Source organism: Homo sapiens, chromosome 2, assembly GCF_000001405.40.
Source record: "Homo sapiens chromosome 2, GRCh38.p14 Primary Assembly".
NCBI classification, from domain to species: domain Eukaryota; kingdom Metazoa; phylum Chordata; class Mammalia; order Primates; family Hominidae; genus Homo; species Homo sapiens.
The window spans coordinates 159,820,497-159,843,061 of NC_000002.12; the positions used below are offsets into that span (position 1 = coordinate 159,820,497).

At 38.9% G+C, this 22,565-nt stretch overlaps 2 protein-coding genes across 3 annotated transcripts in view; both read right to left on the reverse strand.

The window, feature by feature from the left end:
- The window catches only part of LY75-CD302 (LY75-CD302 readthrough), a 136,129-nt gene that overhangs the window by 51,869 nt on the left and 61,695 nt on the right, over nt 1–22,565 (reverse strand). For both annotated transcript variants that reach the window (NM_001198760.1, NM_001198759.1), the window contains exons 24-28: nt 21,749–21,878; nt 20,233–20,459; nt 14,984–15,149; nt 13,548–13,715; nt 11,174–11,290 (exon numbers count right to left, since the gene is read on the reverse strand). In NM_001198760.1, the coding sequence (NP_001185689.1) occupies nt 11,174–11,290; nt 13,548–13,715; nt 14,984–15,149; nt 20,233–20,459; nt 21,749–21,878 (808 nt within the window). The remainder of the gene's footprint in view (nt 1–11,173; nt 11,291–13,547; nt 13,716–14,983; nt 15,150–20,232; nt 20,460–21,748; nt 21,879–22,565) is intronic.
- LY75 (lymphocyte antigen 75) overlaps nt 1–22,565 on the reverse strand; it is a 101,402-nt gene that overhangs the window by 17,142 nt on the left and 61,695 nt on the right. Inside the window, exons 24-28 of the mRNA NM_002349.4 lie at nt 21,749–21,878; nt 20,233–20,459; nt 14,984–15,149; nt 13,548–13,715; nt 11,174–11,290 (exon numbers count right to left, since the gene is read on the reverse strand). Coding sequence (NP_002340.2) covers nt 11,174–11,290; nt 13,548–13,715; nt 14,984–15,149; nt 20,233–20,459; nt 21,749–21,878 — 808 coding nt within the window. The remainder of the gene's footprint in view (nt 1–11,173; nt 11,291–13,547; nt 13,716–14,983; nt 15,150–20,232; nt 20,460–21,748; nt 21,879–22,565) is intronic.

Genomic DNA, 22,565 nt, shown 5'->3' on the forward strand with positions numbered 1-22,565 from the left:
ATAAAATGATACAATAGACTCTGGGAACTCGGGGGGAAGAGTGGGAGGGGATGAGGGATAAAAGATTACACACTAGGTACAGTGTACACTGCTCGTGTGATGGGTGCACCAAAATCTCAGAAGTCAACACTAAAGAACTTATCTATGTAACCAACCACCACCTGTTCCCCAAAAACCTATTGAAATAAAAAAATATTATTTTCTCTTACATATACGTTTAATTGCATGGAAATGAACATAACTATTTTATTTATTTAAAACATGATTGATAAGTTATAAAAGTCACCACAGAAATCTCTTCTCTGGACATAAACTGTTCACAGTTGTGCATACTTATGGTCAATTAATATTTTTTTTCTTTGAGACACAGTCTCACTCTGTCACCCAGGCTGGAGTGCAGTGGCACGATCTCAGCTCACTGCAACCTCCACCTCCTGGGTTCAAGCAATTCTCTGCCTCAGCCTCCCGAGTAGCAGGGATTACAGGTGCCCACCACCGCGGCTGGCTAACTTTTGTATATTTTAGTAGAGATGGGGTTTCACCCTCTTGGCCAGGCAGGTCTTGAACTCCTGATCTCATAATCCATCCGCCTTGGCCTCCCAAATTGCTGCGATTATAGGCATGAGCCACCGTGCCTGGCCAGTCAATTGATTTTTAAGAAGGATGCCAAGACAATTCAGTGTGGAAAGAATAGTCTTCTAAACTGGATATCCACATGTAAAAAAAAAAAAAAAATGAAGTTGGACCCCTTTCTTTCACCACACACAAAAATTAAAGTAGATCACAGACATAAATATAAGCGCTACAGCTATAAAATCTTTAGAAGAAAACATGGAAGGCCAGGCATGGTGGCTCACCCCTGTAATCACAGCACTTTGGGAGGCTGAGGTGGGCAGATCACCTGAGGTCAGGAGTTCGAGACCAGCCTGACCAACATGGTAAAACCCCATCTCTACTAAAAATACAAAAATTAGCTGGGCGTGGTGGCGGTTGTCTGTAATACCAGGTACTCAGAAGGCTGAGGCTGGAGAACTGCTTGAACCTAGGAGGCAGAGGTAGCAGTGAGCCAAGATCATGCCACTGCACCACTTCAGCTTCGGTGACAAGAGCAAAAGTCTGTCTCAAAAAAAAAAAAAGAAAAGAAAAGAAAGAAAACATAGGAGTAAGTCTTCATAACCCTGGGGTAAGCAAAGCCTTCTTACATATGCACAAATGACAAAAGAAAAACACTTTTGTGATGGATTGCTGGCAAGATGGCCAAATAGGAACAACTCCAGTGTGCAGCTCCAAGCAAGATTGATGCAGAAGGCAGGTGATTTCTGCATTTCCAACTGAGGTACCGGGTTCATCTCAATGGGACTGGTTGGACAGTGGGTGCAGCCCACAGAGGGCGAGCTGAAGCAGGGTGGGGCATTGCCTCACCTGTGAAATGCAAGGGGTCGGGGAATTTTCTCCCCTATCCAAGGGAAGCCATGAGGGACTGAGCCTGAGGAACTCTGGCACAGATAGTGCACTTGTCCCAGGGTCTTTGCAACCTGCAAACGAGGAGATTCCCTCTGGTGCCTACCCCACCAGGGCCCTGGGTTTCAAGGACAAAACTGGGCAGCCATTTGGGCAGACACCAAACTAGCTGCAGGAGTTCTTTTTTCCCCATACCCAAGTGGTGCCTGGAATGCCGGTGAGACAGAACTGTTCACTCCCCTGGAAAGGGGTGCTGAAGCCAGGGAGCCAAGTGGTCTGGCTAGGTGGGTCCCACCCCTATGGAGCCCAGGAAACTAAGATCTACTGGCTTGAAATTCTCGCTGCCAGCATAGCAGCAGTCTGAGATTGACCTGGGACGCTAGAGCTTGGTCGGGGGAGTGGCATCCGCCATTGCTGAGGCTCGAGTAGGCAGTTTTACGCTCCCAGTGTAAACAAAGCTGCTGGGAAGTTTGAACTGGGTGGAGCCCACTGCAGCTCAGCAAGGTTGCTGTGGCCAGATGGCCCTATTTCTCCTCTCTGGGCAGGGCATCTCTGAAAAAAGGGCAGCAGCCACAGTCAGGGACTTATAGCAGAGTTAAACATCCCTGCCTGATGGCTCTGAAGAGAGCAGCGGACCTCCCAGCACAGTGTTCGAGCTCTGCTAAGGGTCAGACTGCCTCCTCAAGTGGGTCTCTGACCCCCAGGTATTCTGACTGGGAGACATCTCCCAGTAGGTGCCGACAGACATTTCATACAGGAGAGCTCTGGCTGGCATCAGGCAGGTGCCCCTCTGGGAAGAAGCTTCCAGAGGAAAGAACAGGCAGCAATCTTTGCTGTTCTGCAGCCTCCGTGGGTGATAACTAGGCAAACAGAGTCGGGTAGACATCCAGCAAACTCCAGCAGACCAGCAGCAGAGGGGCCTGTTAGAAGGAAAACTAAAAAACAGAAAAGAATAGCATGTCCACTCAAAGACCCCATCTGAAGGTCACCAACATCAAAGACCAAAGGTAGATAAATCCACAAAGATGGGGAGAAACCAGTGCAAAAAGGCTGAAAATTCCAAAAACCAGAACACTTCTTCTCCTCCAAAGGATCACAACTCTTCACCAGCTAGCGAACAAAACTGGATGGAGAAAGAGTTTGATGAATTGACAGAAGTGGGCTTCAGAAGGTGGGTAATTACAAACTGCTCCGAGCTAAAGGAGCATGTTCTAACCCAATGCAAGGAAGCTAAGAACCTTGAAAAAAGGTTAGAGGAACTGCTAACTAGAATACCCAGTGTAGAGAAGAACATTAGTGACCTGATGGAGCTGAAAAACACAGCATGAGAACTTCGTGAAGCATACACAAGTATCAATAGCTGAATTGATCAAGCGGAAGAAAGGATATCAGGGATTGAAGATCAACTTAATGAAATAAAGAGAGAAGACACGATTAAAGAAAAAAGAATAAAAAGGAATGAACAAAGCCTCCAAGAAATATGGGACTATGTGAAAAGACCAAATCTACGTTTGACTGGTGTACCTGAAAGTGATGAGGAGAATGAAACCAAGTTGGAAAACACACTTCAGGATATTATCTGGGAGAACTTCACCAACCTAGCAAGACAGGCCAACACTGAAATTCAGAAGACACAGAGAACAACCCAAAGATACTCCTCGAGAGGAGCAACCCCAAAACACATAATCATCAAATTTACCAAGGTTGAAATGAAGGAAAAAATGTTAAGAACAGCCAGAGAGAAAGGTCAGGTTACCCACAAAGGGAAGCCCATCAGACTAATAGTAGATCTCCCTGCAGAAACTTTACAAGCCAGAAGAGAGTGGGAGCCAATATTCAACATTCCTAAAGAAAAGAATTTTCAACCCAGAATTTCATATCCAGCCAAACTAAGCTTCATAAGCAAAGGAGAAATAAAATCCTTGACAGACAGGCAAGTGCTGAGAGATTTTGTCACCACCAAGCCTGCCTTACAAGAGCTCCTGAAGGAAGCACTAAACATGGAAAGGAAAAACCGGTACCAGCCACTGCAAAACATACCAAACTGTAAAGAACATTCACACTATGAAGAAACTGCATCAACTAACATGCAAAACAATCAGCTAGCATCATAATGACAGGATCAAATTCACACATAACAATATTAACCTTAAATGTAAAGGGGCTAAATGCCCCCAATTAAAACACACGACTGGCAAATTGGATAAAGAGTCAAGACCCATCAATGTGCTGTTCAGATGAGATGGGTTCAGGAGACCCACCTCATGTGCAAAGACACAAATAGGCTCAAAATAAAGGGATGGAGGAATATTTACCAAGCAAATGGAAAACAAAACAAAAAAAAAGCAGAAGTTGCAATCCTAATCTCTGATAAAACAGACTTTAAACTAACAAAGATCAAAAGAGACAAAGAAGGCCATTACATAATGGTAGAGGGATCAATGCAGCAAGAAGAGTTAACTATCCAAAACATATATGCACCCAATACAGGAGCACCCAGATTCACAAAGCAAGTTCATAGAGACCTACAAAGAGACTTAGGCTCCTGCACAATAATAGTGGGAGACTTTAACACCCCACTGTCAATATTAGATCAACGAGACAGAAAATTAACAAGGATATTCAGGACTTGAACTCAGCTCTGGACCAAGTGGACCTAATAGCCATCTACAGAACTCTCCAGCCCAAATCAATAGAATATACATTCTTCTCAGCACCTCATCGCACTTATTCTAAAATTGACCACATAATTGAAAGTAAAACACTCCTAAGCAAAAGCAAAAGAATGGAAATCATAAGTCTCTCATACCACAGTGCAATCAAATTAGAACTCAGGATTAAGAAACTCACTCAAAACCGCACAACTACATGGAAACTGAACAACCTGCTCCTGAATGACACTGGGTAAATAACGAAATGAAGGCAGAAATAAAGATGTTCTTTGAAACCAATGAGAACAAAGACACAACATATCAGAATCTTTGGGACACATTTAAAGCAGTGTGTAGGGGGAAATTTATAGCACTAAATGCCCACAAGAGAAAGCAGGAAAGATCTAAAATTAACACCCTAACATCAAAGTTAAAAGAAGTAGAGAAGCAACAGCAAACAAATTCAAAAGCTAGCAGAAGACAAGAAATAACTAACGTCAGAGCAGAACTGAAGGCGATAGAGACAAAAAAACAACCTTCAAAAAATCAGTGAATCCAGGAGCTGGTTTTTGAAAAGATGAATAAAATAGATAGACCACTAGCCAGACTAATAAAGAAGAAAAGAGATAAGAATCAAATAGACACAATAAAAAATGATATAGGGGATACCACCACTGATCCCACAGAAATACAAACTACCATCAGAGAATACTATAAACACCTCTATGCAGATAAACTAGAAAATCTAGAAGAAATGGATAAATTCCTGGACACATACACCCTCCCAAGTCTAAACCAGGAAGAAGCTGAATCCCTGAATAAGCCAATAACAAGTTCTGAAATTTAGGCAGTAATTAATAGCCTACCAACCGAAAAAAGTCCAGGACCAGACAGATTCACAGCTGAATTCTACCAGAGGTACAAAGAGGAGCTGGTAACATTCCTTCTGAAACTATTCCAAACAATAGAAAAAGAGGGACTCCTCCTTCACTCATTTTATGAGGCCAGCATCATCCTGATACCAAAACCTGGCAGAAACACAACAAAAAAAGAAAATTTCAGGCCAATATCTCTGATGAACATCGATGCAAAAATCCTCAAGAAAATACTGGCAAACCGAATCCAGCAGCACATCAAAAAGTTTATCCACCAGGATCAAGTCGGCTTCATATCTGGGATGAAAGACTGGTTCAACATATGCAAATCAATAAACATAATCCATCACATAAACAGAACCAATGACAAAAATTACATGATTATCTCAATAGTTGCAGAAAAGGCCTTCGACAAAATTCAACACCCCTTCATGCTAAAAACTCTCAAACTAGGTATTGATGGAACGTATCTCAAAATAATAAGAGCTATTCATGATAAACCCACAGCCAGTATCATACTGAATGGGCAAAAACTGGAAGCATTCCCTTTGAAAACTGGCACAAGATAAGGATGCCCTCTCTCACCTCTCCTGTTCAACATAGTATTGGAAGTTCTGGCCAGGGCAATCTGGCAAGAGAAAGAAATGAAGGGCATTCAAATGGGAAGAGGGGAAGTCAAATTGTCTCTGTTTGCAGATGACATGATTGTATATTTAGAAAGCCCCATCACCTCAGCCCAAATTCTCCTTAAGCTGATAAGGAACCTCAGCAAAGTCTCAAGATACAAAATCAATGTGCAAAAATCACAAGCATTCCTGTACACCAATAACAGACAAATAGAGAGCCAAATCATGAATGAACTCCCATTCACAACTGTTACAAAGAGAATAAAATACCTAGGAATACAACTTACCTGGGATGTGAAGGACCTCTTCAAGGAGAACTACAAACCACTGCTCAAGGAAATAAAAGAGGACACAAACAAATGGAAAAACATTCCATGCTCATGGATAGGTAGAATCAATATCGTGAAAATGGCCATACTGCCCAAAGTAATTTATAGATTCAATGCTATCCCCATGAAGCTACCACTGACTTTCTTCACAGAACTGGAAAAAACTACTTTAAACTTCATATGGAACCAAAAAAGAGCCCGGATAGCCAAGACAATCCTGGACAAGAAGAACAAAGATGGAGGCATCATGCTACCTGACTTCAAACTATACTATGAGGCTACAGTAACCAAAACATCATGGTACTGGTACCAAAACAGAGATATAGACCAATGGAACAGAACAGAGGCCTCAGAAATAACACCACACATCTACAACCATCTGATCTTTGACAAATCTGACACAAACAAGCACTGGGTAAAATATTCCCTATTTAATAAATGGTGTTGGGAAAACTGGCTAGCCATATGCAGAAAACTGAAACTGGACCCCCCTTCCTCACACCTTATACAAAAATAAACTCAAGATGGATCAAAGACTTAAATGTAAGACCTATGACCATAAAAATCCTAGAAGGAAACCTGGGCAATACCATCCAGGACATAGGCATGGGCAAAGACTTCATGTCTAAAACACCAAAAGCAACGGCAACAAAAGCCAAAATTGACAAATGGGATCTAATTAAACTAAAGAGCTTCTGCATAGCAAAAGAAACTATCATCAGAGTCAACAGGCAACATACAAAATGAGAGAAAATTTTTGCAGTCTATCCATTTGACAAAGGGCTAATATCCAGAATCTACAAGAAACTTCAACAAATTTACAAGAAAAAAACAAACAACCCCATCAAAATTGGGCAAAGGATATGAACAGACACTTCTCAAGAGAAGACATTTATACAGCCAACAGACACATGAAAAAATGCTCATCATCACTCGTCATTAGAGAAATGCAAATCAAAACCACAATGAGATACCATCTCATGCCAGTTAGAATGACAATCATTAAAAAGTCAGGAACAACAGGTGCTGGAGAGGATGTGGAGAAATAGGAACACTTTTACACTGTTGGTGGGACTGTAAATTAGTTCAACCATTGTGGAAGACAGTATGGCAATTCCTTAAGGATCTAGAACTAGAAATATCATTTGACCCAGCAATCCCATTACTGGGTATATACTCAAAGGATTACAAATCATTCCACTATAAAGATGTATGCACACGTATGTTTATTGTGGCACTATTCCAATAGCAAAGACTTGGAACCAACCCAAATGTCCATCAATGATAAACTGGATAAAGAAAATGTGGCACATAGATACCATAGAATACTATGCAGCCATAAAAAAGGATGAGTTCCTGTCCTTTGCAGGGACATGGATGAAGCTAGAAACCATCAATCTCAGCAAATTAACACAGGAACAGAAAACCAAACACCGCATGTTCTCACTCATAAGTGGGAGTTGAACAATGAGAACACATGGACACAGGGAGTGGAACATCACACACTGGGCCTGTCGGGGGGTAGGGGGCTAGGGGAGGGATAACATTAGGAGAAATACCTAACGTAGGTGACGGGTTGATGGGTGCATCAAACCACCATGGCATGTGTATACCTATGTAACAAAACTGCACGTTCTACACATGTACCCCAGAACTTAAAGTACAATAAAAAAAGAAGAAAAAAAAAGAAAAACACTTTTGTGGCATAAGTAAAGTCATGGGAGAAAATATTTGGAAATTATTTATATCCAGAAATATAAAATTTTATATTTTATATAAATTTTAAAATAATTTGGAAATTATTTATATATTTATATATAAATACTGGAAAGTATTTATATCCAGAATATATAAAGAATTCTTACCCCTCGACAATAAAAAGACTCAATTTAAAACATGAGCAAAAAATCTGAATAGGGATTTCCCCAAAGGTGATATACAAATATTCAATAAGCACATGAAAAGATGCTTAATATCATTAGCCATTAGGGAAATGAAATAAAAATCCCAGTGAGATATCATTCCACACTCACTTAGATGGCTATAATGAAAAACACACAAATGTTGGCATCGATACGGAGAAATCAGTACTCTCATATACCGGGAATGGAAAATGGTATAGCTGGTTTGGAAAACAACCTGGTAGTTCTTCAAAGGGTTAAACAAAAGATGCAGCAATTCTATTCCCAGGGGTTTACCCAAGAGAAATGGAAACATATGTCCATGCAAAAACTTGTACGTGAATGTTCAGAGAAGCATTATACATAATAATTAAAAATGGTTTAAAATTTAGGTTGTTTTACCTAAATGTCCATCAAGTGATACATGGATAAATAAAATGTATTATATCCATAGAATGGAATTTTATTCAGTCATAAAAAGGAATAACGTACTGATACATGCTACAATGTGGATAAACCTTAAAATCTTTATGCTTAATGGAAAAAGCCAGTCACACGCAAAAAGCACACATGGTATGATTTCATTTATGTAAAATGTCCAGAATTTTACATTCAGGCAATCTGTAGAGACAGAAAGTAGATCAGTGGTTGCTGAGGACTAGGAGACAGGGAGGGAATACTAGTGGGTATTGTGTTTCTTTTTGGGGTAGTGATGATTGCAATAAAGCTTTAAAAAAAGGTGCTAGGCATATTACAATTATAAATTGGTATAAAGATTGATGCCATCACTACCTACACACACCCAATGTTGTCCTGGTTATTTCTGGTCTTCATTGATTACCATCTCCCAAGGCAAGACCCCTAAACATCTGCCTGCAGCAATGACACATTAGAAGCACTGCACACACGATTTGGTTCTTGTTTGCTGCTTTATATCATCTCATGCCTTCCAGTTCCTCTTCCCTTCTCCTAAACTTCAAAGTTATCAATTTTCTGACCAATATGATGTGCAATGGTAGATTTCTAAAGTTGTTTTAAGAAAAAGTCACTTTTTTCACTTGGCTTAATGTATCTCTCAGTTGACATACTGTGGCTTCTCATAGTAATTTCTATTCATGGCCCTGCTATTGAAAAATCAAAAATGTTTAAAAAAACAAACTTCTTTGGGTAGGTGCCAAATACAATTAAATATTCTATATCAACGTAACCAAAAACAGTGACTTACAGTGATTTCTATTCATGGCCCTGCTATTGAAAAGTCAAAGCTGTTTTAAAAACAGAATTCCTTGTATAGGGGCCAAAAAATTAAATATAAGTATATCAAAGTAACCCAAAACAGTAACTTACAGATGTAAATTAAGTCAGTAAGAATGAGATTCAAATCAAATGTGCCATTTGCCTGAAATGTCTTTCTATATGTCCCTCATATGCCTGTATATTTTAATAGAAATTTTATTACTCAAACATTTTATGAAAGAAGGTAAAACAATAAGGGAGTCTTCTGATCTAAAAATGCTTTTTCAGAATTTATAATAGATTTTCAGTTGCTTCTGATAATATAACTACAAAGTATACCAAAGGGTACAATTTCAATCTCTCTGTCCTGGGTGTGGTCTCTATGGCTCAATACAAGACCATTGTTTCTTCAGTCACTTTCAGGTGAAGCCTCAGAATTTTCCAGCTAGTTTTTCTCCATTTTAATTCAAGGGTAGTTAAGTGTCATCAGAGAAAAGGTTTGGGCCAACTAAGTCCTACTATGATGAACTTATCCTCACTTGGTAAACCAAGTCTTTATCTATTGCTTGATAGTTTAATTTCCATTAACCCCTCTGCCAACCATAAACATTTCAGGAAAACATTGGTAACCCCAAGAAACAGATGGGTTAGAGAGCAAAGGAGAAGCCTATTTTTAAAACAGGCAGATTTGAGTAATTTAGCTTCTTTTCCTTCCCTACCCCTGGTTATCATTGTCCTGTGCCCCTTATCAAACCCTCTTTAGAGTAAATGTATGCTTTTGATGCTCTATGGCCGTGGAAAGGTTTTCCTAATTCCAAAATGTCTATGATTTTCAGGACATTTCTGAGCATCTTTCTAAATGCTCAGAAGCATTTAGAAACAAGACCTTGTTTCCTCTATATTAGACTGTTTTAAAAAATTTTGTTATCAATCATATTTTGGATTGGTGGTATTTAGTCCAAATTCCAAATATTCGAGCCCATTGTCAGACCATGTGTCTCATTTTTCTATTCTTTTTTTTTTTTTTTTGAGATGGAGTCTTGAGTCTCTGTTGCCCTGGCTGGAGTGCAGTGGCACCATCTTGGCTCACCGCAACCTCTGCCTCCCGGGTTCAAGTGATTCTCCTGCCTCAGCTTCCCAAGTAACTAGGCACACGTCACCATGCCTGGCTAATTTTTGTATTTTTAGTAGAGACAGGGTTTCACCATGTTGGCCAGGCTGGTCTCAAACTCCTGACCTCTGGTGATCCACCCGCCTTGGCCTCCCAAAGTACTGGGATTACAGGCGTGGGACGCTACACCTGGCCATGTGTCTCATTTTTCTAATGCTTATCATATGTGGGCCAGTATAAACTAAGCCAGGGTTATAAACCCAAAACTGCAACACTAATAGAGTGATTCTGTTCTTGCTCATCTCACATAGTTAGTGGAAACAAAAAATAAGTATTGAAGATTTATATGGGATGGTGATCATTTTTAGTTAGTCTTGAGTTGCTACATAAAAGAGTGAAAAAAGAAAATTGATATGGTTTGGCTCTGTGTCCTCATCCAAATCTCATGTTGAATTATGATCTTCAGTCTTGGAGGAGGGGCCTGGTGGGAGGTGATTTTCCCCCTTGCTGTTCTCGTGATAGTGAGTGAGTTCTAATGAGTTCTGGTTGTTCAAAAGTGTGTAGCACCTCCTCCTTCACTCTCTCTCCTGCTCCACCATAGTAAAACCTGCTTGTTTCCCATTCGCCTCTGACATGATTGTAAGTTTCCTGAGGCTGCCCAGCCATGCTTTCTGTAAAGCCTGTGGAACCGTGACTCAATTAAAGCTCTTTTCTTCATAAATTACCCAGGTTCGGGTAGTTCTTTTTAGCAGTGCGGGAACAAACTAATTCAGAAAATTATTTTCCGCCATTTAACTTTAAACTCGATGATAAAGGCAGAGCAGAGACATAAAAACTGTCTTGGTATTTATGTAAGTTATGCTAAGTACATAATTATACTTTCACGTATTGATAGACATGTACTTTGAAGAACTATGGCTTGATAATTATGTTATAATGAAGTACAAAAACAAATAGAGAAAGTTGGCAGATTTACAACTTACTTCTATAAGTTATTCCTAACATGACCCATGAAGCCATATAATTGAAGTACAGCAGTTGCTCAAGAACAAAGTTATTCTCCTTTTCATCTCGAATACTCAGAATATGTGATTTTGGATCTGTTGAATAAAAAATAATCAATAATTTTAACAATTACTTATCTAGTACACTTCTATTTGATAAGTTTAAAACATTTTAGTTCTCAGTTTAATATACTTCAAAATATAAACAATATTGGACAATTAGAAACATATGTAAAATAAAATTATCCCATTGTACTAAAATTAATAGGTTAAGGAGTTTTCAAATGTTTTGATGTTAAATTTGGTCTTATGGTATAATAGAAAACTAGTAGCTGAGTAGAGAATTTAAAACATTGATTCACTTCACTTTCCCCTATTTAAAGGTAATTTTTCAGTTGGTATAAATCCACCCATAGTAATGATATACTGTCAAAGATTACGCTATAATAATTAGAACCTCTTAGATGAACTATAACAGGGGTTCCCAACCCCCGGGCCACACACTGGTACTGTTAGGAACCAGGCCTGTTAGGAACCGGGCCTGTTAGGAACCGGGCCATACAGCAGGAGGTGAGCAGCAGGCAAGCGAGCATCACCGCTTGAGCTCTGCCTCCTGTTAGAGCACTGTGGCATTAGATTGACAGAGGAGTGCAAACCCTCTTGTGAACTATGCATGCGAGGGATATAGCTTACATACTCCTTATGAGAATCTAACTAAGGTCTGATGATCTGAGGTGGAACAGTTTCATCCTGAAACCATCCACCCCTCCCTGTCAGTGCCAAAAAGGTTGGGGACTGCTGGGCTATACGACAGATCTTCCTTTTCCTTAGTTTTCAGTATGAGGGTTAAAAAGGCTTAATATTTCCCAAAGGGTGTTCCTCACAAAATTAACAAGGAAGTTTCAGAAAAGATCTACATGGATTTTAAAAAAAGTTTGCAAACATTGGTTTAAACAAAATTAAACTAGTTTATGCCAGTATTTCTTAAGGCATATGTTAATGTACATTTGTTAATGTCCAACAGGAAGCTATGGTGTCTAGTGTTTCTCAACCTTTTTCTTTTTTGTTGGTTATTTTTTTCAACCTTATTCTAAGGACTTTTTGCAGACCATCTCTCAAGACTGATGTTATACGGAGCATGCTTTGGGAAATACTGGTTTGATATTTTCTATAGCAACTTTCACTAAGTTCATTGTTCCATTGGTTCCAACAGTTCCATCATTTGGAAGTCACAAATCCTTAGTGGATCTCATAGGAATTATCTGAAGACTCTTGAGAGCTGAAAATGTGAAATGTGCACTTCTTTAAGCTTAGCTGCTGCCTTGTGGTGTATCTAAGCTTTTGACTGCTCCAACTAACTTATTTTCACTTCCCCATAGCCTAGCTTGATTTAATGTCCAGTTCTCTGCTCTCTTGTGTGTCATTTCTTTCCCCCTTCCTTTTTTTTTTTTTTTTTGGAGATAGGGTCACCTGTTATCCAGGCTGGAGTGCAGGTGGTTCAATCACAGCTCACTGCACCTTCAACCTCTTGGGTTCAAAGATCCTCCCTCCTTAGCCTCCCAAGTAGCTAGAATTACAGGCATGTGCCACCATGCTTTTAATTTTTTGCAGACAGAAAGTCTCACTATGTTGCCCAGGCTGGTCTTGAATGGTTGGCATCAAACAATCCTCCCACTTCAGCCTTCCAAAGAACTAGGATTACAGGCATGAGCCAGTGTGCCTAGCCCATTTCTTTTCCTTTTAAAGGAGAACCTGCCTTCCTTACAAACATAGACTAGTTCTTGAATGGAAGAGTAAAGAAAGGAGTTATGCCTATACTTTCCATTTTAACTAACACAAATTTTAATACTTTGTCACTGATAATGTAGATATTAGGAGATGAATATTTTTGTCATCTAGTTACTAGTGCTAATTAGAAATATTTATAACACAGGAAATATTTTTTTAATTAGCAAAATACAATAAGTAATGACAGTATAATATACTTGATATGGTTTGGCTGTTTCCCCATCCAAATCCCATGTTGAATTGTAGCTCCCATAATCCCCACATGTCATGGGAGGGACCTGGTGGGAGGTAATTGAATCTTGAGGGTGGGTTTTTCCCGTGCTGTTCTCGTGATAGTAAGTCTTATGAGATCTGATGGTTTTACAAAGGGCAGTTTCCCTGCACATGCTCTCTTGCCTGCTGCCATGTAAACATGTCTTTGCTTCTCCTTTGCCTTCTGCCATGATTGTGAGGCCTCCCCAGCCATGTGGAACTGTGAGGCCATTAAACCTCTTTTTCTTTATAAATTACCTAGCCTCGGGTATGTCCTTATAGCAACATGAGAATGGACTAATATAATACTTACTCAGTTTCTGGCATTTAGTATGAACTTCATCCTGTGTTGTTGCCATATGCCTATTCTTTGTTATTATGAAATTGTAGCAACAGTTCTGAAATGGTATCCACGGAGTATTTAGAACAGGAGATGGACATTTAACACTGTCAACTGGTTTGACCTCTTTTTCAGTCTCATCTAGAAAAAGAGTTAATGGTAAGAATTCTAATTTGAGATATAAATGTTAAATCCTGTTTGCAGTCATTAGGCTTGATTTGTAGGAAATATTCAGGAAGCCGAGAAGTAATATCCTGGTGAAGCCTGTCTCTGTTTATACTCAGATATAGCACACAAAAAGCCAGCTTTCTATAGGAAGGAAATTACTTGACACAATTTTCTTACCCCTGCTGTGGCATGGAAGAATGTAAAAAATGAGGTGCTATTAGGTTAAATGCAGTTTCTGTCTTCCTGCATTACCAAATGTCAAGTACAAGGGACCACCCCTAGAGATGCTGTACAAACATATTCATTATTAAAAGTCACCTAACTATAACTCTGAGAATTTATTTTAAAGTTTCTGTCTACTGATACTATTAATTTTAAAGGAACATTTAAATGAAACATTGATGTTCTAAATAAGTTATTGCTTTAACCAAGTCAAACAAAAATAATATTTAAAATCTGACATCTACAGTATCTGATTATGATCTTTTTCCATTTTATGAAAAGGCCATACATTCACAAAGATACAAATATAAACATATTCCACTCAAATACATTAAACTGATTTAATATGTGGCAGAGATCACTCAGTATCTCTCCTGGATCACAATAAGTCCCTTTGTCCATGAAGCAGTGTCTTCTTTCTACCACAGACCCACAAATGTGACCTTGCCAGTTGTAAAAACACTTTCCTCTGACTGGGCTAGAGACTGCACACCTGACTCAGGCTAAGTTCATGAGATGTTCTCTAGGGATTTACAAAGTGAAATTTAGAAATTGTCAACTCATCTCCAGTTATAGGTTCAGCTCTATCCCCGTTTTGGGGATCCTAAATTTCCCCTTGTCTTAAGCTAGCTTGAGGTGGTTGCTGTGAATCTTAAGACTCATAAAAGTCCTGTTAGTTGTGATATTATGAATCACAAAAGAATTCTCACAAATGTAAGCTTTCTACAACTATAAATATATGCAGAAAGAGGTAGAGTAACAATGGGATTTTAAGTGTTAATCCCCATTGTCAGCTGACATAAAAATAAAACATGCCTAAAATGACCCATTAATAATAATATATGTAATATATAATTCTACTTGAATACAAATTTTCACAACAAATGTTGCCATAAAAAGACATGACTATAATTTCTTCACAATTCCAAAACCAGATTTTATAAAACCACTCCTCAGAAATTCTACCACTTATGGGACTGTTAATAATTTAAGAATTAAAAGATCTGAAATTCACATACTTCCTGAATAGTAGCAAATAGCACCTGGTTGATTGTCATTGCAATCAACTGTTTTCCAGAATCCATCAGTGTCTAATACTACACAGTCTTCGAGTTGCCCATTAGTTTCAGCCCAGCGACTAAAATGAAGACGTTTCCCATCTGACCAACCAAAGTTGAGTTCATCCTGTAAGGAGCAGAAGTACATTTCAGGTGGCAATATTGATGTTAACCCTTTGTATTATTTTGACTCCCATGGTCAATCTAATGATTTTTAATTTTTTTAATATTTAATACACATTTACATACCATTTACTACATAACAAGCATTGTTCTAAATGCTTTACAAATATTGGCTTACTTAATCCTTGTAACAACCATATAGGAGAGGTACTATTATTATCTCCATTTTAAAGATGAGGAAACTAAAGGTATGTAACTTGTGCAAAGTCCCACAGAATACAAACCACAGTGCTGGGCCTTTCTGCCAGGCTGTCGATCCCCAGAGTCTATGTCCTAACCATTATGCTACGCTGCCTCACACATAATTGGATCCACTGGTTATCAGAAATCAGAAAGCTAAAATGGGGTGAGGATCACTATAAGTACTGATTAGATCAGAGACCACCTGGCATAGTGGAAAGAATATGGGCTACGGAGCTAAACCTACATGGTTTTGAATCCTGATTCAGTCACTTACTAGCTTTCATGTGCCATCTCTCCAAATTTCCATCCCCTACCAAGTTAAGTGTGACACTTAACTTCGTGGGGCTGGAATTAATGGGATAACATGTGTAAAGCCCGCAACCCAGGGGCTAGCTGGCACACAGAGAGCTGGTGGTTCCCTTCCTCTGAACTCTTCAGGCGCTGTGGCTCTCACATCACTGTTTTCACACTTGTTGGGGAGAGAAGCTTCTTCATTCACTAGATTCTGTTGTGTGCTAGAGGTCTGTGAACGTCTGCCTTTACACCCTGCCAAGGTCCTGACCACCCATCTAGGTACAGGAGATGGATTGTGGGGTACAGGCCTGTCTGAGCTTCCCCATGGTGCTGCCAGAGACCTTACATACCCACTGGTGGGCCTGGTGCTGGCCTAACAGACCCACTGAGCTAAGCTTTCCTGAGTCCCAAGACAATCTGCATCACTAGTTTATTTGAAATATGGAACGAAGCGACACAGTCTCCTTAGTAAACCATAAACAGCAACACAGTCAAGCCTCAACACCACTCGCTGCTTCATTCTGAAATGTTCATGACCAGAGTTCCAGCTGTAATCCTAGCCCCTAACCTAACCCAGTTAGGGCCTAAGCCACTGTGGCCTCCAGTGTGGCCCTTCGGCCATGCGACTTTGCCTGCACTCATTCAGACTGCCCTGCATTTCTTCCCCTTTGCTGCACTCCCCACCTAACCCTGTCCCTGATCCTTTGGAATTTCCATTCCATCTAAATAAATCATCCCACACCTTTTATCTTTTTACTGAATACAAAGTATGAAGACTATAAATATCTTTTCACTAAATTCTTGATCTTAATTGATCTTAATTTAACTCTGGCTTTTCCAGGGAATGCTCACACATTGTTGGTGGGATTATAAATTAGTTCAGCCCCTGCGGAAAGTAGTTTGGAGATTTCCCAAAAAACAAAAATAGAATTACCATTCAACCCAGCAATCCCATTACTGGGTATATACCCAGAGGAAAACAAATCGTTCTACCAAAATACACCTGCGCTCATATGTTTATTGTAGCACTATTCACAACAGCAAAGACAGGGAATCAATCTAGATGTCCATCAGCAGTGGATTGGATCAAGAAGATGTAGCACATATACATGATGGCATACTGTGCAGCCATAAAAAAGAACGAAATCATCTCCTTTACAGCAACATGGATGTAGCTGGAGGACATTATCCTAAGTAAATTAATGCAGGAACAGAAGACCAAATACCACATGTTCTCACTTATATAAGTGGGAGCTAAATATTGGGTACACATGGATGTAAAGATGGGCATGATATTGTCTGGGGACTCCAAAAGTGGGGAGGGAGTGGAGCAAGGGTTGAAACACTACCTATTGGGTACTGTGTTCACTATTTGGGTGACAGGTTCAACTGAAGCCCAAGCCTCAGCATCCCACAGTGTATGTATTGTAACAATCCTGCATGTGTACCCCCTGAATCTTAAATAAATACATAAATCTGGCTTTTCCAAGGGAATAATCTCCTTTCAGCACCCACAGGGGAAGACTATTTGATATTCTATTCTCAGATACCACAGGACTATGAGAAAGGAGTAGTGGATATTTTTATCTCCTTTTATTTCCTTTCAGGATTATTCCCCTTGTATCACTGCAAACTCCCCATGACATTCACTGAGGACTTGGTCGCCTTGCTCCTCCCTGACATTCACTAAGATGTCCCAATTCTTGCTGTCCTCCCGGTCCTACCATTAACTTGGGATGCCTGTGTTCATGTTTCCAAGCCTTCTTGACTTCCTTTAATTCTATGTATTTTTATTTCTTCAAGCTGGGTACTTGAGTGACCCACTGCATGGCCACACTCTGCACTTCACATAACCCAGAGCTGCCTCTCCTCAGACACTGTAAACGCCAACAGCATTTCCTGCATGAATTTATAGAAAAATAACTGCTCTCCCTCTCTCCAGCTGCTTGCGTCCTCCCCGGCCTTCCACACAGTGTCGTCTACTTAAGTAAAGTCTTATATTGCCACTACTCTGTTTAAAATCTTTCAATATCTTCTCATTGCTTTCAATGTAAAGTATTTATTAACATCCTGTCATTTTCAAAGAATTAAGGCAGCTATTAGGATATATAGTTAAACAGCTACACAGAATATGTTAAAATTAAGGGTGAAAGGGAAAAGAGAACCATAGGTAAAGGTTGAAAATAGGATAAGAAGTAAGACCCAAATCATTAAGTGGGGAGGGGAGTTACAAAATAGTCTGATTCCAACTGTCTAAAAAATAAATAGGTACACATAGAAAAATAACTTGAAAGATCCATACCAAAATATTGATTGAATCATGTTTATTTTTAGGTACTGGCATTACAGGTGACTTTAATTTTGTTCTTTTAATTACTGACAAATTTTCTACATTGCAATACTGTTTTTGTCTCAAAAGATTTAGGGTGACTGAAACTAGGAAATGTAATCACCTATTGTTTCCTCACAACAGACACAACAAAGCGTTTCACAGAATTTCCAATGCTGAAGATAAAGCAAGTAAATGCAATGCTATAAAACAATTGAGACTGTGAGGACTGAGTAAGCAGCTTCCCCATCTCCTGGCTTGCTCTGGGTTAATTTAATTTAATTAATTAATTAATTTTTTTATTTAGAGATGGAGTCTCACTCTGTCGCCCAGGCTGGAATGCAGTGGTATAATCTCGGCTCACTGCAACCTCCACCTCCCAGGTTCAAGTGATTCTGGTGCCTCAGCCTTCTGAGTAGCTGGGGTTACAGACGCCCGCCATGATACCCAGCTAATTTTTGTATTTTTAGTAGAGACAGGGTTTCACCATGTTGGCCAGGCTGGTCCCAAACTCCTGACCTCAAGTGATCCACCCACTTTGGCCTCCCAAAGTGCTGGGATTACAGGCATGAGCCACCATGCCCGGCCGATCTGGGTTAACTTTAGAATACCCTGTGGCTCAGAGAGACTATTCTTTAAGCTATTCCTAAATGCTACTTTTAATTGAGCTTTTGATAACAATTCTTGTTTTTCCATCCATTCTTCAGTTCAATTCTGAGTCTTCAATCGCATTTTTTCCATGCATCCCTAGACCCATCCTGGTATACTTTGGGATATACCATGGCTGAGAAAAGAGGTGGCCTATAATGCCAATAGGAATACCACAGCTTTATTTAAAAATCCCTTATTTAATTATAGCCAAAACTTCAGCTGTGTAATGATTCCGGTTTGTGCTACATGTGCAGAGGTTAGTGATGCGAATTAGTAGGAGACTAGCATTCTTTGTTGGGCTCTGAAATGAATGAGAAGTGCTTGAGACATCTATCTAGGATCAGCACTTGAGATGGAGGAAAACACTATTCAACCTCCTTTTCAGAGTTGCTTAATTTTACTTTGCTGAATTTTTTCTTCTTAAACTAGAGACTGGGGTTTTGCTATGTAGTCCAGGCTGGATTTGAACTCCTGGGCTCAAGTTATCCTCTTGCCTCCAGAGTAAATGGGACTACGGGTGTGCACCACGGTGCCCAGCCATGCTGCTGATGTTGAAAGGGATGGAAGCTGGTCGTGGTGGCTCACACCTCTAATCCCAACACTTTGGGAGCCTGGGGCGGGCGGATCACTTGAGGTAAAGAGTTCAAGACCAGCCTTGCCAACATGGTGAAACCCCATCTCTATTACAAATACAAAAATTAGCTGGGCGTGTTGGCGCATGCCTGTAATCCCAGCTACTGAGGAGGCTGAAGCATGAGAATCACTTGAACCTTGGAGGTGGAGGTTGCAGTGAGCCGAGATTGCACCACTGTACTCCAGCCTGGGTGACAGAACAAGAACCTGTCTCAAAAAAAAAAAAAAGAAAAAGAAAAAAGAGAAAGGGATGGAAAGGACTCTTTAACACTATCCATAGTGCTTCCACACAACTGATTTTTAAATTCTTCCCTTATCTTTTCATTGGCTGAAGAGATATGGCAGCTCCAGATTCTAGCTCGTCTTTGATTAGAATAAATAAAAAGAAGTGCTCAAATATATATATATCTCCACCAGAACCTTTTCCTCATTTAAACAATGAAGTACTAGATCTTTCAATAGTGGAAAGATAATTGCCTCTAAAAACCACATATTGCTGCTAGGTGCCATGGCTCATGCTGGTAATCCCAGCACCTTTGGGAGGCCAAGGTGGGCAGAGTGCTTGAGTCTAGGCATTTGAGACCAGCTTGGGCAATATGGCAAAACCTCATCTTTACAAAAAATACAAAAATTAGCCAGGTATGGTGGTGTGTAACTGCAGTCCCAGATACTCAAGAGGCTGAGGTGGGAGGATCGCTTGAGCCCGGGAGGTCAAGGCTGCAGTGAAGTGTGATCACACCACTGTACTCCAGCCTGGGTGACAGTGTGAGCCTTTGTCTCAAAACAAAATTTAAAAACCCCGACATATTCCATGAAATTTACTGGAGTAAGATTTTCAGTTCTTCTGTTTGTTTTAGTCTGCTGTGAGAGAAGCTATGCACAATAAAAAATGTCGCTTTCCATCACCCAGTCCTGGCAGTTGGGACTGAACACTTACATCTTGACTGAAGAGTCCGATCCATAAGGAAGAGTTGTGAAGGAGCGCCTGCACACTGAGGAATGCCTGCTGGTAAGGGTCCGTGATGCTCACCAGCTGCATGTTACTTTTCAGACACTCCCTTTTAGCACTGTGCCAAGTCAGAGTCTTTGGGATTATTTTGTACAGATTATTTAGATACTTTACAGTTTCTGAAGCATTCTGCAACGTCTGTCTGCTTTTAACTTCTGCATGTAAAAGAAAACAACAACAACAACAAACCCTTCCCCACACTCTGCAAGTTATGGGACATTTTTTTCACATTTCTCCCCATACTAATCTAATTTAGATATTATTTGCCTATTTATTTTAGATTTTGGGTGAGAGAATTAGGTATGTCTTGCTGTATACCTTAAGGAAAATGTGTGAGCTGCAACATTTGTTTTCTAAAATCAGAACAACATTCTGTTTCATTTTTCTGATTTATGAAGAGAATATCTGCAAATAAATGTAACCTGCATTATCATGTCATGTCGGTGCTAAATACCTCTTTTGTTTGAAGGAAATAAATGTATTAAGTATCCCCTTACAAAGTTTTCACCTGGGAGAGCTAGCATGAAGAAATGTAAGAAACCATCCACAAGAGGAGGTATTTGAATTATTGCTTTATAGTACTTCGCTAATAAAGGAGTTAGTTAAAAACATGGAAAAAATGGGTAAAGATTAATTTAGCAAAAAAAAATTCTGCCAAAGCACATGAGATATCTACTTACAGTTCTCATTATATGACAAAATTTTTTCTTGATCATTTGTTAAAAACACATTGTGATCAATGAAAAATAATGTAATACTTTTTTAAAAATATATTTTTCAAAATATGGATGATGCCTACTTTTAAGTATGCATTCTACTTTTATTTGGATTATGGAAAGGCATAGACAGTGATCTGTTTATAATGTTTCAAACCCCCACTTGTTTATTTGTTAATGCTAAATTTAACAGTGAATACTATTAGTGGACTTAATACTCAATACTGCACTCAATTAAAAATATGAAGTTTTTTTCTCCTTTTCCCATAATAAAATGTAAAATCTGAAAAATGCCAGAGTAGAAAAAAGAACAAAATTCAATTACTATAATGGGATAACTACTATTAACAAATTCCATCAGATACAATTAATTAATTTAATTAATTATGGCAATGATCCTTTAAAAAAATCACATTCCATTTGATAAACTCTGACTCACTAACCCAATATGGATTTAGCCATGCTGAAATTTTAAGCCATATGATTATAAATTAATATAAATTCTTTTATAGTATTAAAAAATTTTTTCGGCTTTTATTTTAGATACAGGGGGTACATGTGTAGGATTGTTACATGGTGTATTGGACCCAGGTGGTAAGCATACTACCCAATAGGTAATTTTTCAACCTATGTTCCCCTCCCTCCCTATAGAAAGTGACTCTCTCTCTCTCTATATATATATATGTAATAGCATAAAGTACCATAGTTATCTAGATAATAATTGTTACCTGAATATTTCTGACAGAGAGACACAAAGTGGCGTTCACTGCAGGATGTAAAATTCCACGTCCCAGTAAACGGTGATTTTTGGAGGTTGAGTATTAGGGCACAGTGGTAGCGAGACTCTTCCTCAAAAAACTAAACAAAAAGGCAAATACATACATGCAATCATGTAACAATGGTCTGAAGCTCCTAGCAAGAAAAGTTTAGATTCTAGATTGAATTTGTCCCCCTATAAAAGAATTCCATGAAGGACCTGACCATGACATTTCCTAGAAAATCTTTAAAAACTTTCAAAGCATGGATAAAGGGCAATTAACTTTATAAAAAACAAAATAGTGGCAATCTTGATAAACATATTTTTAAAGAGATAAACTATTAGAAATAAGATAAAACACCTCCAGCAATATTTAACACTCGACTACAGTATAAGCAAAACATAATGATTATTAATTCAACTTATTAGATTTTTATAGACTTTTTGTAACAAGTTGTGTACCACATAACAGAATATACCTTAAAGCTCTGATCCTATACTAGTCACTATAAAAATCTCCATATATTAAAACAGAAGTATCTAGATTTCATTTTCTAATCACAATCAATAATATTAGATATGAAAATTTATTCCAAGTATATTATCCCTATCATTTTCTGTATGTTTGAAACATATCACACTTAGAAAAATAAGAAAAGTAAGTTTATACCAGGAGATACTGACAAAAAAAAATGCTACTCAATAAATAGTAAACCAAAAATGAACTAAAATAATTATAGGAAAGAATAAAATGAGAAATGTCAAAAAAATTGGTATGAGTAAAACTT